The following is a 17663-nucleotide window of genomic DNA, read 5'->3' as shown; positions in this document are numbered from 1 at the left end:
AAAAAATCAGCTGGATGTGGTGGCACACCTCTAGTCCCAGCTACTCTGGAGGCTGAGGTAGGAGGGTCGCTTGAGTCTGAGAGGTGGAGGTTGCAGTGAGCCGAGATCATGCCACTGCACTCCAGCCTGGGCAACAGAGCGAGACCCTATCTCAAAAAAAAAAAAATCTTGTGTTACAAATCCATTATGCGTTAGCAAACAGCTTTGTCCACTTTGACCCTCAAGGACCTAGGCTGATGGAAGCTTGCCCGTCTCGTGATGCATCTCAACATGTAGTTTCCCAGGGTCACATCTATAGGAAAGAGAGAGTTCAAAGGAAGATTGAAAGTGGCATAAGTCACTTTTTTCCCCAGCTCACTGGCCAAAATTAGTTGCATGACCCTAATGTAAGTGAATCCAAAATGTAGGAGGAGCACAAGGAATATTAATGAGCATTACTATTTCTTCAACACATGTTCTCTTTTTATTTTCTCCATGTTACCTATCAGGTTTTATTATATGATTTATATATTTTATATAACTTATACATATTTACATATCATATCATTTGCATGCTTTTGTGTTTACTGTTTAATGCCTCCTCCAGCAAGAATAGGAACTTATACTCCCAGAAAAGAATATAATTATTCTCCCAAGGAATATTTAGAATATAAAATTAGTAAAACTTGATTATTTGTTGAATACAACGGCTAAGGAAAGAATTAAGGATAATTCATGTTTCTCATTTGGATTACTTGGTTTTTGGTGTTTCCAAATGAAATAGGGAATATCAGAGGAGGAACAAGTGTGGGTGATATGATGATGAGTTTGGTTTGAGGTATAGTGGGTTTACTGCCATAGGGACCTCAAGGTGGAAATATGTGCAGAGTTGGATATATGGTTCTTAAACCCGGGGAAATGGGTAGGTCTTCAGCATGCCTAGTCTAGAAGTAGTTAAAAAAATAAGAAAGGGGGCCAGGTGCATTGGCTCACTGCACCTGTAATCTTAGCACTTTGCGAGGCCAAGGTGTGTGGATCGCTTGAACTCAGGAGTTTGAGATACCCATCTGTAGTCCTAGCTGCTCGGGAGGCTGAGGCAGGAGGATTGCTTGAGCCTGGGAGGTTGAGACTGCAGTGAGCCATGATTATGCTGCCGCACATCAGCCTTGGTGACAGAGTAAGACCCTGTCTCAAAAAAAAGGAAAAGGTAAGACTGTCAGTAACTACTAAGGACAGAATCCTTCTGTATACTAATGTTTAAAGAACAAAAAGAGGAAGATACGCTCTTGTGTGGGAAATGCAGCAAAAAATAAATGGTGAAAGGTGAACCAGGAGAGTATGAAGCTATGACTATCGAGGGTATTTAGAGTTTCAAGGAGAAAGTGAGGGACCATGTTAAATGTAGTAGATATGTAAAAAAAACAACAACAACCAAAAAAAAAAACAACTCTGCCTGTAGTTCCAGCTACTCAGGAGGCTAAGGCAGGAGGATCACTTGGGCCCAGGAGTTCAAGGTGTTAGTATGCTATTATCACACCTGGGAATAGCCTCAGTACTTCAGCCTGAGCAACATAGTGAGACCCTGTCTTTCTAAAAAAACAGAACAAAACAAACCACCAAAAACCAACAATTTCGTACTAAATATTTTCTACTCTTCTTACAAGCTTACTTAAGTCCCTTGCTCCTTTATTTCAACCCAACTTCCCTAACCACATTGGCTTCAATTTCATTGAGAAATTTGAAGTCATCAGGCATAAACAGCCCCAAATGTGCCCTCCCTTCTTCCCTTTACAAACTTACCACCATGCCCATCCATCCTTTCCTCTTTCCCTCCAATCTCAGGACATTCACAGCCAACTTTTCCACTAGTGCCATTGATACCAAGAATTGTCTGCACTTTCTGTTTATGCTTTTTCCCTTTTATGATTTGTGCTCCTAGTATTCCACGGAAATTTTTCTCAGTAAGGGGACCATTTGAAATTTTAGTCAATGGGGTGGAAGTGAAAAACTAAGTACAAAGTGTTGAATACTGAATGCAAGGTAGGGGAATAGCAATATAAATTGGAGATAGCAGTCACTGATGAAGTGAGAGGGAGATAATGCCAATCCTCCTCCCCAGACAACTGAAGACATTTACATGGACCAGATTCAGGTACTATTCCAGAGGCCCTTTCATTTTGGTGGCCATATTAAAAGTATGTCTCTTACCTGTCCTCCTCCTCCTATACCATGCCAGTGATTGAATCTTCATTGTAGAAGCAGAAGTGAGCCAGTTCCCACAATAAAGAATTTAGACACATGAGATTTCATTCATTTGTTCATTTGTGGAAAAGTATTTCTTGAATGTCTGCCATGTGCCATACTCAGGGTTAGGTGCTGGAAATACAATGGGGAGTAAAAACAAATTTCTTGTTTTAGTGGACTTTATAGAATAGTGATTTGATTTGTCTTTTATTTGTTTGTTTATATCTAACTTAAATTTGTTTAACTAATTTTACTTTTTTTCCCCTTTAGTACCCTCTTATATATGGACTGATTCTTATTCCCTGCTGGTGTTCTCTAGTTTGCCTAAGTAGAATTTACATGGGAATGCACTCTATTCTGGTAAGGAAAATGTTGTCTTCTTAATACTTTATTTTTTATGACATTGACAGGAAATTTTATAATTTTTAATCATTTGCAAACTTACCTGAAGCCTAAATGAGAAAATATTGTAAGTCGTCTAACTTTGTTTTGCGAAAATATCAACATGATGGTTTATGAAATATTAATGTAGTAGTCACATATTTCATAGAAACAGTTTCCAGCAATCACAATAGCCAGGTATTATAATCAAGATAACATTTCTTCCTCCTTCCAGTCTCCCTTTTATTTTCCTTTGCAGTCTTTTCTGTGTCTCTCTTATCACTGAGTCAAAACCAGCAATGTGGCTACAGAAACCAAGGAGAGCTCCTAAGTATTGTTGAAGAACTAGTGACTAGAAACTATGTGAACTTAAACTTTCCAGGGGCCATTTGTGTTTACATATTAAACTCTACTTTTCTTTTCTTTCCCATCAGTATGTTAGGACTCACAGTGGACATTGTGTTTTGAGAATGCAATTCGGTTCCCAAAGCAGCAGCACAGGGACCCTGTACTATTTGCAGCCACACCCATTCACTTTCCCTCCTCGCTATCCCTATTGACACCCCCTTAGCTCTGGCCTGCAACATATCTTGACCAGATTACTGTGATAGCATCTTAATTAGTAGCCAACTTCCAGTTTGACACTGCTCCACTAGCATTCAGCTGTTTCGTAGACTTTCCAAAACACAAATACGATGCTATACTGAATTATTAGGTTTCCTCCAATGCAAAGGGTTTCTTACCTCCATAACTTTACAAATGCTGTAACATTTACTTGGAATGCCCCTTTCACTTTCTTTACCTTAACTATCCCATTCATTCTTCAAGACTCACTATAGATATTCTTAACCCCTCAAAGCCTTATTACCTTCCCCATCTTCTCTTTCTCAAGACTTGTGAGGTGACCCTTCCCCACTTATCCTAAATTGCAATTGCTTTTTTCCTTATCTGTCAAGTATACTAGACTCCAAGTTCCTTGAGAACAGCAACTGTGTGTTTTAACTCTACCTTTAGTATCCAACATGGTGTCTCATGAGGCATCTATGAATGAATTATGTATTATCATGGAGATAAAGGATCACAAAAAAAGGTGGAAGAATTCATGGAATTCTAGTTTCTAATGGGTCATGTCAGTTTTTTTCTTGTCCTTAACATGTTACCATTTTTAGAATTTTTTTTCTCATATTATTTCATTCTCTTATTTCTTAGTTATAGAAATGTTGGTTTCTATCTCAAATTTCTTGCTTCCAGCACCTGCTCCTTCACAGATAAATTTCCAGAAGTCCCAAACACTATTTTATTTTGTTGGGAGGCAGTGTGTGCTGTAATTTTGGGGTTGGTCATTGTTTCTAGGTTTTTTTAAATTTTAATTTTAGATTCAAGGGGTACATAAGCAGATTTGTTTGCAAAGGTATATTGTGTGATGCCAAGATTTGGACGTCTATTGATCCTGTGACCCAGATGGTGAACATAGTACCCAACAGGAAGTTTTGCAGCCCTTTCCTCCCCCCGCTCTCCCTCTCTCCTTTTGAAGTCCCTACCAAACACTTTTTTTTCTTTTTGAGACAGAGTCTTGCTCTGTTGTCCAAGCTGGAGGGCAGTGGCACAATCTCGGCTCACTGCAGCTTCTGCCTCCCAGGTTCAAGCAATTCTTGTGCCTCAACCTCCTGAGTAGCTGGGATTACAGACATGTACCATCACACCCGGCTAATTTTTGTATTTTTAGTAGAGACAGGGTTTCACCATGTTGGCCAGGCTGGTCTCAGACTCCTGACCTCAGGTAATCCACCTGCCTTGGCCTCCCAAAGTGCTGGGATTACAGATGTGAGCCACTGCGCCCAGCCCTAAACACTATTTTAATAAACAAATTATTTGTGTTTGACTTTTTATAATTATTTGTATTTAATATGAATTGTGAATTTACATACACTTCTTTCTGACTAATCTCTCCTAATTTTGTAATCAGATTAAGTATCATATTTTTATGCAAAATCAAATACTTGTTACAAGAAAATGTTTTCTATCTTCTGTGTCTTTTTAGAGTTATTCTGTTCCACCCCTAAAAGTTAGCATCACTACTTCTGAAAAAACTACCAAATGGTTATGCATCTTTAGTGATAAAAAGTGAATTCCTGGTATTTCTTGGAGAAAAAGATATTAGATAATATCCCTTGACTCATTATCATCATACAAGGAAGAAAAAGAATCTATGTGATCACATTGAATATATAATCTCAAAGATACTGGTTTTGTTTGCTTGCTTGTTTGTTTTTGAGATGGAGTCTTGCTCTGTCACCCAGGCTGAAGTGCAGAGGCGTGATCTCAGCTCACTGCAACTTCTGCCTCCCAGGTTCAAGGGATTCTTCCAAATAGCTGAGATTACAGGTGCATGCCACCATGCCCTGATAATTTTTGTATTTTTAGTAGAAACAGGGTTTCATCATGTTGGCCAGGCTGGTCTCGAACTCCTGACCTCAAGTGATCCACCCACCTCGGCCTCCCAAAGTCCTGGGATTACAGGTGTGAGCCACCATGCCTGGCTGATACTGTTCTTTTTTAAAAATGAAATGTTTAGTTGGGTTAGTCAAATATCCAGGATGGACAACATCTGTTCTTTTTTGTTTGTTTGCCTTTTTAGAGACAAGGTCTTGCTCTGTCACCCAGGCTGGAGTGTGATGGTGCAAACATAGCTCACTGCAATCTCAAACTCCTGGGCCCAAGTGATCCTCCCACCTTACCCTCCCGGGTGTCTAGGACTACAAACATGTACTATAATGCCCAGCTAATTTTTAAATTTTTTGTAGAGATAGGGTCTAGCTATGCTGCCCAGGCTGATATCAAACTCCTGGTTCAAGTGATCGTTCCACCTCAACCTCTCAAGGTGCTGGGATTACAGATGTGAGCCACTATGTCCAGCCTAACACTAAGAGTTTTAACAATGGTTATTGTTAGGTTAAAAACTGTTTGTTATTGTTTATCTATAATTTTTACTTTTTGTGTAGTGAGCATGTATTAAATGTGTATTTTAATGAAAGAAGATAGATACTTCAAAAGTCATCCCTAATCATAGCTTTTATAATCAAAAACAATGCATTATAACAATACATTTTGTTGTCAGAAACTGTTGTCATTGTCATATTTAAACTGGATCCAGGGCACCTGAAATATATTATAGTTAAAATAAAAACAAAAGGCTGGGCGTGGTGGCTCACGCCTGTAATCCCAGCACTTTGGGAGGCAGAGGCGGGCGGATCATGAGGTCAGAAGATCGAGACCATCCTGGCTAACACGGTGAAACCCCGTCTCTACTAAAAATACAAAAAATTAGCCAGGCGTGGTGGCGGGCGCCTGTAGTCCCAGCTACTGGGGAGGCTGAGGCAGGAGAATGGTGTGAACCCGGGAGGCGGAGCTTGCAGTGAGCAGAGATCGCGCCACTGCACTCCAGCCTGGGCGACAGAGCGAGACTCCCTCTCAAAAAAAATAAAATAAAATAAAATAAATAAAAACAAAAAAGCCATTATGAGATGGGAGACCTGAATTTCAGTCTCAGCAAATCACTAGCCTCTCTAGGTTTGATCAGTATAAATGAAAAAAATTTTCAAATTTAATACCTAATAAATCTTCATTAAATGTATGGTATTTAATATCATCTACCATAAATTGACGATAACCTGGAGTATTCCATTTAGATGTGTAATTAACAAATTTTGGGGTATAAGAGTTATTTATAATAATAAATAGCTAAAATTATTTGCTAAATTTCCTTTTAGAAAATTTGCTACTTTGAGCTCTTTGTTACCTTTAACATTAATGTTCTTTATTGCATACTTTGTGCTCTAACACTTAAAACCACTTAGTTATACATTTTAATGTTATCCATTATATTGATATCAAAATGATAGCCAACATGGTTATGTCGTAAATTTGAATGTTTCTTTTTCTGATTCTATTGGATAGGAGTTCAATATACCCTATCTAGGGAAATATAAACAATTTAAAACTCAAACAGAAAAGGAAGCAGATTTGTCTAGTTTCGTAGCAATCTAAGTTTTGTTTTGTTTTTTTTTCCTGGTCAGACAAGGTGTGGAACAATCTAAGTTTAATACTCGTGGAGCTATACACAAAAAGTAGAGGACAACAAATAATGGATTTTTTATGTCAATTGATACATGAGAAGTTATTATTTTAAAGAATTCTTAATGTTAAAGAGATCAAACATAACAATTTAAAGACATTTAATGAATTTTTTCTTTTTTTTTTTTCTTTTCTTTTCTGAGACAGGGTCTCCTTCTGTTACCCAGGCTGGAGTGCAGTGGCGTAATCTCTGCTCACTGCAACCTTTGCCTCCTGGACTCAAGCGATCTTCCCACTTCAGCCTCCCAAGTAGTTGGGACCACCATGCCCTGCTGATTTTTCTATTTTTTCTTTTTGGAAGAGACAGGGTTTGGCCATGTTGCCCAGGCTGCTTTCGAACTCCTGAGCTCAAGCGATCCACTCGCCCTGACCTCTCAATGTGTTGGGATTACAGGCATGAGCCACTGTGCCTGGCCAGTTTTTTCACTTTTTAAGGTACTATAAAAGAAACATTTTACAGGATTGAACATATGCTTATATCTATTATGAAAAAATACATAATTTAAAAAAATACCTGGCTGGGCACAGCAGCCCACGCCTATAATCCCAACAATTTGCAAGGCCAAGGTGGGAGGAGTTCAAGACCAACCTGGGCAATGTAGGGAGACTTCGTCTCTATAAAAAATTAAAAAATAAGTTGGTCATGGTGGCTTGTACCTGTAATCCCAGCTACTCACGAGGTCAAGGTGGGAGGATTGCTTGAGCCAGGAAGATTGAGGCTGCAATAAGCTGTGATTTTGCCACTGTACTCCAGCCTGGGCAACAGAGCAAGATCCTATCTAAAAATAAAAATAAAAATAATTAATAAAAAGCTAACTTCAGAGCTGTTAACCCTTCATTTCACTTAACCTTAGAGTAAATATGTATGGCTTTATATAAATAGCTTATCAGTTGTCATTTGTCTGAAACATCTGACTTGATATAAATTCTATGTGAAAAGTACAAAGTTTAGAATATATACACTTTAGCATATAACATGAAATTCTAAATCACTCATGAAATTTAAGATAAAAAGTAAAGCAACAGCTTTTATTTTTGTAGCCAAAATCCTATGGGTATTTACCAAGACTTGTGCCTTTAATTACAAGGTAGGGAAGTAAGGGTAAGATAGCAAACAAAGGGAATGTAACCTCATAAGGTGAAGTTATTTTGGCAATTTGGGCTCTGAAATATGAAGAATTGGCCAGGTGCAGTGGCTTACGCCTGTAATCCCAACACTTCGGGAGGCCGAGGCGGGTGGATCACTTGAGCCCAGGATATCTGGATCAACCTGGGCAACATGGCAAAACCCTGTCTTTATAAAAAAAAATACAAGAAGTTAGCCAGGTGTGGTGGTGTGTGCCTGTGGTCCCAGCTACTTGGGAGGTGGGAGGATTGCTTGAGCCCAGGAAGTCGAGGCTGTGGTGAGCCATGATCTCCCCTCCAGCCTAGGCCATGGCCATACAGTGAGATCCTCTCTCAAAAAAAGAAATATGAAGAATAGAGGTTTGACAGTCACATCATTTGAGATCTCCTTATCCAAATGCATGGTCAGAGTTTGAGTCACTTGTGGAATCTTTGAGTAACTGAAATAAAATCCAGTTGATCAGAATTCTTTGGTAATTTTTAGTATGTATCAGTGAGTTTTCTCGGAAGACATCCTGTTCAAAAAAAAAGTGTTGAGGCTGGATGTGGTGGATAATGCCTATAATTCCAACACTTTGGGAAGCTGAGGTGGGTGAATCACTTGAGCCCAGGAGTTCAAGACCAGCCTGAGCAACATAGGGAAAGCCTGTCTCTACAAAAAAATACAAAATATTAGCCAGGCCTGGTGGCTTGCGCCTGTAGTCCCAGCTACTTGGGAAGCTGAGGTGGGAGGATCAATTGAGCCCAGGGGGTTGAGGCTTCAGTGAGCTATGACCACGCCACTACACTACAGGCTGAATGACACGGCAAGACCTGTCTCCAAAAAAAAAAAAGGAAGTTGAACATTTAGTTTCTCTTCACTCCCAATATTTAATTTCTGATTCTCAAAATGTTAATTTTTATAACAACTGTGTCAAGTACCTTCAATGTAAGAGGTTAAATAAGCAGCTGTGTGACCTTACTCCAGTTTTCATTATTTAAAAACTGGTTGATTAAGGTAACCATAAATTTCCATCAAATTTGCACACTTTTGAAAGGGAAAAAGGTGCTTTTAATACCTGTCCTGGGGACAAGAGCAAAATGGGACTTTTCGAGGCAAGCTGTTTCATATTGGTTGTTATGGTTAAATGTGACAATAATTGTAAAGTATTGAAGCAGTGTTTTTAGTACGGAAAGTTATTATTCTCCAAAAATGTCTTAGGCCTGGTTCAATAAATTATATATCATCTGCTTCTCTTATAGAGCTCTTGTCAGGCAGGATTATGTAGTCAATGTGATGAGTCTAAAGAATACCTTAACTCTTTTTCTTTCTTCCTTTCTTCTTTTTTTTTCTTTCTCTTTTTGTTTTTTATTTTTATTTTTAAAGAATTACCTTAACTGTCTTAATTTAACTAACCAAACATTTATTTCCTGCTTACTTATTTTTCATGCACTGAAAATATATGTATAAATAAGGTAAAGTCTTTGCCTTTGAGTAGTCATTGTCTAAATATGCAGTATGTAATAAAACAGTGTAATGCAATTGTTTTCAACCAGGGTGTACATCAGAATCACTGGGGAGATTTTTAAAAAATACTGATGCCCTACCCCCACTTCAGTTCAATCATAATCTCTGAATATTGTCCCAGGCATCAGTATTTTTATCAAGTTCTCCACTTGATTTTAATCTACAGCAAGGGTTATGAACTTTTGGTTTCCTGGAGAAACAGACAAGCAAAGAATGGAAAACAGTCATAGCAGGTATGTGGAGGATGCAGTGGAATCAAAGAAGAGAAAATTTCTTATTACAGGGTAGGAGAAGAAAGTTTATGGAGGAGGTAGATGCCTGAGGAGAATCTCAAAGAATATATAATAGTTTGCCTGAAATATAGGTAGGAAAGATAATTCTAAGACAAGAAGAAATAGTCTATAAATTCATTTTGGGATCTGGCATTAAATGAAACTTAATGATAGACAAAACTCAGTTATGAAATGCTTTATATGTCCTTCTAAGAGTTGGAATGCACACATGATATTTATTGCCTTAGTTGACACTTTCCTAAACATTTTGTTAATTGATCACCTCTCAGCCTTTTGGCTAAGATCGAGCGTAAACATTTTGTTAATTGATTGTGTAATATCTTTCCTTGACCTGTTATAAAAGGAATCACTTATTTAAATAAAGAGAATACAATTATAATTTTAAGCAACTTTATTTACTTACTATTGTACAATAGGAGACTATCAGCCAAACTATGTTTTATATCTAAATAAAATTTTTAAAATGTTTTTCATGGCTGGGCATGGTGGCTTACACCTGTAACCCCAGCACTTTGGGAGGCCAAGGTGGACAGATTACCTGAGGTCAGGAGTTCGAGACCAGCCTGCCCAACATGGTGAAACCCTGTCTGTACTAAAAATACAAAAATTAGCTGAGTGTGGTTGGTGGCGCACACCTGTAACCCCAGCTACTTGGGAGGCTGAGACAGGAGAATTGCTTGAAGCCAGGAGGTAGAGGCTGCAGTGAGCTTAGATGGTGCCACTGTACTCCATCCCGGGGAACAGAGTGACACTCAGTCTCATATAAATAAATAAATAAAATATTTTCTTATATCTATCATGTAGTACATCATTTAAAGAGAGGAAAGATATTCATTTACAAGTAATTTGGTAGATTCTGCTAGACAAAACAAATTCATGTGAAGGATTTGTTTATTCATTCATTCATCCATCCAAAAAATATTTGAGGTTGAACAAAACATAGTCTATTTCCCTACCATTTTATAGTTGAATGTTCAACTGTATTCTTTTTCATAATTATCTGTATCTTCTTCTCCAGCTATTCTTATATTCCAAAGTGTTCCGATTTGGAGTTATATCTCTTTTAGAACAATGGCTTCAAGCACTGCAACTGCGGACCCTGTCATTTCATGACACAATTTTTATTGCATAGAAAAGAAATAGCCCAGCCGGTCACAGTGGCTCACAGCTGTAATCCCAACACTGTGGGAGGCTGAGGCAGGTGGATTGCTTGAGCTCAGAAGTTGGAAACCAGCCTTGGCAACATGACAAAACCTTGTCTACAAAAAATACAAAACTTAGCCTAGCTGGGCATGGTGATGCACGCTTGTAGTCCCAGTTACTCAGGAGGCTGAAGTGGGGAGGACAACTTGAGGTGGAGGTTGCAGTGAGCTGAGATTGTGCCACCAAAGTCCAGCCTGGGCGACAAACAAAACAAAACAAAAAACAGAGAAGCATTCAAGTTCAACCGTAATCAATTAACTAATCCAAAACCCAAAAACAGCTTAAATGACCATAAGTGGGAAAACCAATAAATTGTATAATGATGCAGCAGAATATTACATGATTGTGAAAGTGAATGACCGATAACTACATATAATATAATGAATGAATCTTAATGTTAAGTGTAAAAAGCAGTTCAAAAGAGACTGCTGTAACATTTTAGCAAAGCTCAGAAAGAAGCAAAACTAGATAATTTTTTTTTTTTTTTTTGAGACAGAGTCTTGCTCTGTCACCAAGGCTAGAGTGCAGTGGCGTAATTTCAGCTCACTGCAACCTCCACCTCCGGGGTTCTAAGCGATTCTCCTGCCTCAGCTTCCAGAGCAGCTGGGATTACAGGCATGTGCCACCACACCCGGCTAATTTTGTATTTTTAATAGAGATAGGGTTTCACCATGTTGGCCAGGCCGGTCTCGAACTCCTGACCTCAGGTGATCCTCCCACCTTGGCCTCCCAAAGTGCTGGGATTACAGGCATGAGCCACCACCCCCGGGCCAAACTAGATAATATTTTGCTTGAAGATATGTGGTAAAACGATTTGAAAAAATAGGTATTTATGGCCAGGCCCGGTGGCTGATACCTGTAATCCTAGCTCTTTGGGAGGCCAAGGTAGGTGGATCACTTGAGCCCAGGAGTTCAAGACCAGTCTGGGCAACCTGGTGAAACCTGGTATCTACAAACAAAACAAAACAAACAAACAAAAAATCCCAGGTATTTATGAAGCCAAAATTCATGCTTGCAAATTGCCTCCAGGGAGGAATGCAGAGTGATAGGTTGAGAAACAGCACAACAGTAGATTTGACAATTCTTGTAATATTATAGTTCTTTTGTTGGGAAGTGATTTCATAGATATGAATTTTATAGTTTCATATATACTGTACATGTATTTTGCTATGTATCAAATCCTATATAATAAAAAATTTTAAGACAGAAACATCAAGCAACTAGTCTGTTGCTTAACTGTATTGAATATTGTTAAGAAATGACCTGGCCAGATGCAGTGGCTCACGCCTGTAATCCCAGCACTTTGGGAGACTGAGGCGGGAGGATCACGAGGTCAGGAGATAGAGACCATCCTGGCTAACACGGTGAAACCCCGTCTCTACTAAAAATACAAAAAATTAGTCGGGCATGGTGGCGGGCGCCTGTAGTCCCAGCTACTCGGGAGGCCGAGGCAGGAGAATGGCGTGAACCTGGGAGGCGGAGGTTGCAGAGAGCTGAGATCACGCCACTGCATTCCAGCCTGGGCAACAGAGCGAGACTCCATCTCAAAAAAAAAAAAAAGAAAAAAAAAAGAAATGACGGTTGTTTTTGAAGACCTCTAGTATCCATGAAAAAAGTGGTTTCAGTGTAGTGGTGAGTTTAGAGAAAAATCAGAGGTGAGGAAGTGGAGACAGTGAATATAAACATTGATAAGTTTTTCAGTAATAGTAGATCATAGGGTTTTGTTTTGTTGTAAGGTAGAAATACGGAACATTTTTGTATGTTGTCAGGAATGATTCAGAAAGTTATTTAATAGCTTTGTTTCCTCAAGTAAACCATCTTCTATCAAGTCTACACAATTGCTCCTACCTAAAACTAGGAACCGTCTCTGATTCCTCTCTTTCTTCTTGCTGTTTCTCACATTCAATCCATCATCAAGTTACAGTTGTCAATTCTTTTAAAATTTTTTTTTTTTTTTTTTTTTTTTTTTTGAGACAGAGTCTTGCTCTGTCACCCAGGCTGGAGTGCAATGGCGCCATCTCGGTTCACTGCAACCTCGGCCTCCCGGGTTCAGGCAGTTCTCCTGCCTCAGCCTCCTGAGTAGCTGGGATTACAAACGCGTACCACCATGCCCGGCTAATTTTTGTATGTATGTATGTACTTATTTATTTATTTATTTTTGAGTTGGAGTTTCACTCTTGTTGCCCAGGCTGGAGTGCAATGGTGCGATCTTGACTCACCCCAAACTCTGCCTCCCGGGTTCAAGCGATTCTCCTGTCTCAGCCTCCCAAGTAGTTGGGATTATCGGTGTGTGCCACCACACACAGCTAATTTTCTTTTGTATTTCTAGTAGAGACAGGGTTTCACCATGTTGGCCAGGCTGGTCTTGAACTCTTGACCTCAGGTGATCCACCCGCCTCGGCCTCTGAAAGTGCTGGGATTACAGGTGTGAGCCACTGCACCTGACCTCACTTTTTATTCTTAAGAGACGAAGTCTCCCTGTGTTGCCCAGCCTGGTCTCCAACTCCTGGGCTCAAGCAGTTTCGACAAAGTGTTGGGATTATAGGCATGAGCCACTGCACCCAGCTCCTATCACTTTTGAAATAAAATCTACTCTCTTACCTAGCCTACAAAAGCCTTTGCACTTGATATTCCCTCTACCTGGTACACATTTCCTCTGCCTCTAAATATAGGCTCCCTTTAGAATCAGATCTGTGCTCAACTGTCACCACCCTCAGACAGGCTTCCTTAATCAATCAGTACTCTAATCGGGTCCTTCATCATACTATTCTGTTGTCCTGTTTTAGTTTCTTCATAAGATTCATAACAATCTGAAATTGTAATATTTATCTGCTTTCTTATGTGGTTATCAACAGTCTTGCTCTGTTACTCGGGCTGGAGTGCAATGGCATGATCTTGGCTCACTGCAACCTCCACTTCCTGGGTTCAAGCGATTCTCATGCCTCCATCCCCAAGTAGCTGGGATCACAGGCTGGAGCCACCATACCTGGCTAATTTTTGCATTTTTAGTAGAGACAGGGATTCACTATGTTACCCAGGCTGGTCTTGAACTCCTGGCCTCAAGTGAACCACCCACCTCAGCCTCCCAAAGGGATGGGATTACAGACATGAGCTACCTTGCCCAGCCACATTCTTGTCATTTTTTAAAGCAATGTATCCTCAACCCCTAAAATAGGGGTTGGCACTCATAAATATTTGTTCAATGAATGAATGAATGAGAAAAGAAAATTACCTAGGATGTATATCCTGTGTGGTCATGGAGATAATTACATACATAAACATATGAAAATGAAAACCATTTCTTTGAATAATAAGTGTACTTTTCCCCAGAAATCAAAACTACACAATTTTAGCATAATTTGTTGTTCAGAATTTGAATGTAAATTTGTGGATATTATATATGTAGTTAATTTATAAAAGGGTAGAATTATGAAAATATAAATCCTTTTATTATTAATACAGCTTTTAGTGCCTCTTATATGGTCAGTTAATAAAGTTTACTTTGAGAATTTGACAACTTTAAAAAATTTATGTATATTCAACATTTGAAATGTCAAATATAAATTATTTTTTAAATGCCAAAAATATTCAGTATTATACTAAACAACGATACTTTTATCTTTTCCTAGGATATTATTGCTGGATTCCTATATACCATTTTAATCTTAGCTGTCTTCTATCCATTTGTGGACCTGATTGACAACTTCAACCAAACTCACAAATATGCTCCATTCATCATCATCGGGCTTCATTTAGCTTTGGGGATCTTTTCTTTCACTCTTGACACCTGGAGCACATCCCGAGGAGACACAGCCGAGATACTAGGAAGTGGTGCTGGAATTGCATGTGGATCTCATGTTACTTATAACATGGGTCTAGTATTAGATCCTTCTCTAGATACATTACCTTTAGCTGGGCCCCCCATTACTGTGACTCTGTTTGGAAAAGCCATATTGCGGATCCTCATAGGGATGGTATTTGTACTAATAATCAGAGATGTAATGAAAAAGATCACCATTCCTTTAGCCTGCAAAATCTTCAATATACCGTGTGATGATATTCGAAAAGCAAGACAGCACATGGAAGTTGAACTTCCTTATCGGTATATTACCTATGGAATGGTTGGTTTCTCCATCACATTTTTTGTTCCTTACATATTTTTCTTTATTGGTATCTCTTGATGGAGAAGTATTGTTTATGATAAGAAAGGAGGGTATCAGTTACTGATACCCAAAAATATATTCCAGGTAAAGCCAGGTCAGAATTAGGCTTTTGCAGGAATTTAACTTAAATAATTATTTAAGTAAATTCATAAGAGTCAGTGCATTTTATCATTGCACATCCAGATACTGTTTTAGGTGAGCTGAGCTATTTCGTTACTGAGAAAATGATAAGTATCCATTTAGAATGTTCATGTAATGTTTGGAGAGTTTTGTATTATGGATTCAACTTATATATAATATATATAAGGTACATAATATGCAATTATATATCTGATATATATTATATATAAAATAATATACCTAAGTGTTTTTTTAAACTATGGGAGTGTATTATAAAATCAATAATAATATGCAAACAGTTGTGCCTGTGTATTTGAACTACATACAGGTATGTTGTTATTAACAGATATATTTAACATTTATTTACTATGGGAGCCATTTCCTAATTGAATTGCGTAATTACTAGACCAGAATGCATATGCTACTATACATTGATTTACTGCCTGTTTTTACACTGCCATTACCTTTCATGTTATCCATGATGTTGAACATGGGAGGCATTTTTAATGGACCAAATTTTTAGAAAAATTAGTTTTTGGATTTTTTTTTAAGTTCTGTATACTGTTTTGAATGAACTTTATTTGCAGCTATTCTGGATGTCAGTTTAATAATTCAGGTACTGAATTTTATTGCTTGCTAATTGTGCCTTTCCGTTGCTAAATTAAGAAATGCTATGTGTACTGTGATGTAAAAATAAGACATTAACTTTATCTTAAGTTACATATAATCAAGCAAATATTTTAAAAAATGTATGTCAGGGTGACAGGCATAAAAGTAAATTACCCTTAACTCTTTAGCCTTTATTTAGAAAGAAATGTGGAATGGGCTAAACTTTCTCACCAATTTATTAGAAAGCTAAATGGATAAATACTTCCCTTTTTGTAGATATTTTTCTGTGCATTGTAAGTTATAGGAGCAGGACATATTTTTTGTACATTGTCTTGATTGTTTATACTGCAGGTAGGTATTTCCAGTGAATGGAAACGTTGAAATTTATAGATGGGACAATGCACATACTTCATATGTAAACAAAGCATTTTTCTAAATAATTTGGAAAGGATTGGATTTAGCACCGTTAACTTTTAATACCCATTTATTGGCTATTTAAGGTAAATTATAAAACCTAAAATTAGTATCAGTATTTTAGATCCTATTATTTTTTCAACTTTCTATTATTTTCACAGTGGAAAATTTGCGTATAGTATTAAACTATTCTTTTTTCTGTCTACCTTTATATTTTGAAGTGTGGTTGTACTTACGTTAATAGTAAGTGTATTTGTAGAAAGTTTTTCATAAAGAAGAGATTAACTTTCCATATAAATAAATACCAGGTATGAAATTACTGATTTTAGTGCAATATCTGTATGATTATCCAGAACTATCACTTCAGATGTTTCTATTTTGGGCACCATAACTATTTGAGCTCATATTTTTATAATTCTGATTGAGAATTTAGGGGCATGGTAATTTTTACCAAAACTGAAGCTGGTAATTTTAAGTAAAGCAACTAAATTTACCCTTTACTTATTAGTTAAAAGGAAACCAAGGCATGTAGGAAAATATTGGTACGTTGGAAAATGTGAAAAGAGCTTTACTTTCAAAATGTATGTTTAATGAATTGAATTTTAGGGACCGTTTCCCATAATTTGGGCCTATGCTATCCTGTTGATTTTTATGTCTAGCTTAAAAGGTATTTGAAAATGTTCCATTTGTGTTTTATTATTTTCTGTCCTATGACAGTTCTATGCTAAATGTATTTTAAAATAAAAGCCAAATTGAAGATTAAAGAAGGTTTTGCTTTGTTTTGTTTGCCTTCCGAGCAATTGTTTCTGTTTTATCTGGTAGAGATTTTAAAAATATGTCTTGGATTTTCATTCTAGCACATATTTCCTCTGAAGCGTTTTGTCCAAAATCAAAGTGCTGTTTTGGCAATAGAAGACATTGAAGAAGTTCTTTGAGGTACAAACTGGCTTTGGTTCCATTTATGATTATTTCTAACATTGTACTTTTAGTAAAAAGTTTCATATTTCTTTTAAAAAGCTTATGCACAAAATTGTTTCAGTAAAATGTGACTAATAGTATTGTAGGTAATTTACTGCTTTTCCATGAATGTCAAGGATTAATCATAAAACTAGGAACAGGTACTTTTTCAAGCAGAATAAAACATATGGACATTTTATTTTGTAATTTTAAAATGCCATGATGTGTGAACTGCAAAAACCAGGTCTGCCAGAAACTAATTATATGACCTAATATAAAACAATGCCACTTCAAGATTGACACAATTATTTTTATTTTATTTTGTAGCTTTCTTTACAAGTAGTGTTTATTAAATATATATTTCAGGGACAACATAAAAATGAATTCAGTGGAATGAATAGAATTTAAAAGCAAAATTTCCCTCACCCTCCCTGTCATTCATTCCCTTAAAGGCAAATTTTAACAGAGCATTCAATAAAGATAAGTAAATACTAAAGTGGTTTTTTAAAATATATAATCACAAAAATTTTTAAA

General features: G+C 37.4%; 1 protein-coding gene and 1 long non-coding RNA gene across 2 annotated transcripts in view; one reads left to right on the top strand and one right to left on the bottom strand.

Moving 5' to 3' along the window:
• Nucleotides 1–16936, top strand: part of SGPP1 (sphingosine-1-phosphate phosphatase 1) — a 43850-nt gene extending 26914 nt beyond the window's left edge. The window contains exons 2-3 of the mRNA NM_030791.4: nucleotides 2494–2583; nucleotides 14496–16936. Coding sequence (NP_110418.1) covers nucleotides 2494–2583; nucleotides 14496–15047 — 642 coding nt within the window. The 3' untranslated portion in view covers nucleotides 15048–16936. The remainder of the gene's footprint in view (nucleotides 1–2493; nucleotides 2584–14495) is intronic.
• On the bottom strand, nucleotides 441–10877 carry LOC124903327 (uncharacterized). Its single transcript, XR_007064204.1, has 2 exons — nucleotides 10620–10877; nucleotides 441–2355 (listed from the first exon to the last, which is right to left on the bottom strand). It is a non-coding gene; the product is annotated as an uncharacterized LOC124903327 (long non-coding RNA).
• Nucleotides 16937–17663: the final 727 nt, after the last annotated feature.

Source organism: Homo sapiens, chromosome 14 (assembly GCF_000001405.40).
Source record: "Homo sapiens chromosome 14, GRCh38.p14 Primary Assembly".
Lineage (NCBI taxonomy): Eukaryota > Metazoa > Chordata > Mammalia > Primates > Hominidae > Homo > Homo sapiens.
The sequence above is the reverse complement of the archived record's forward strand: the minus strand, read 5'-3'. Positions and strand labels throughout refer to the sequence as shown.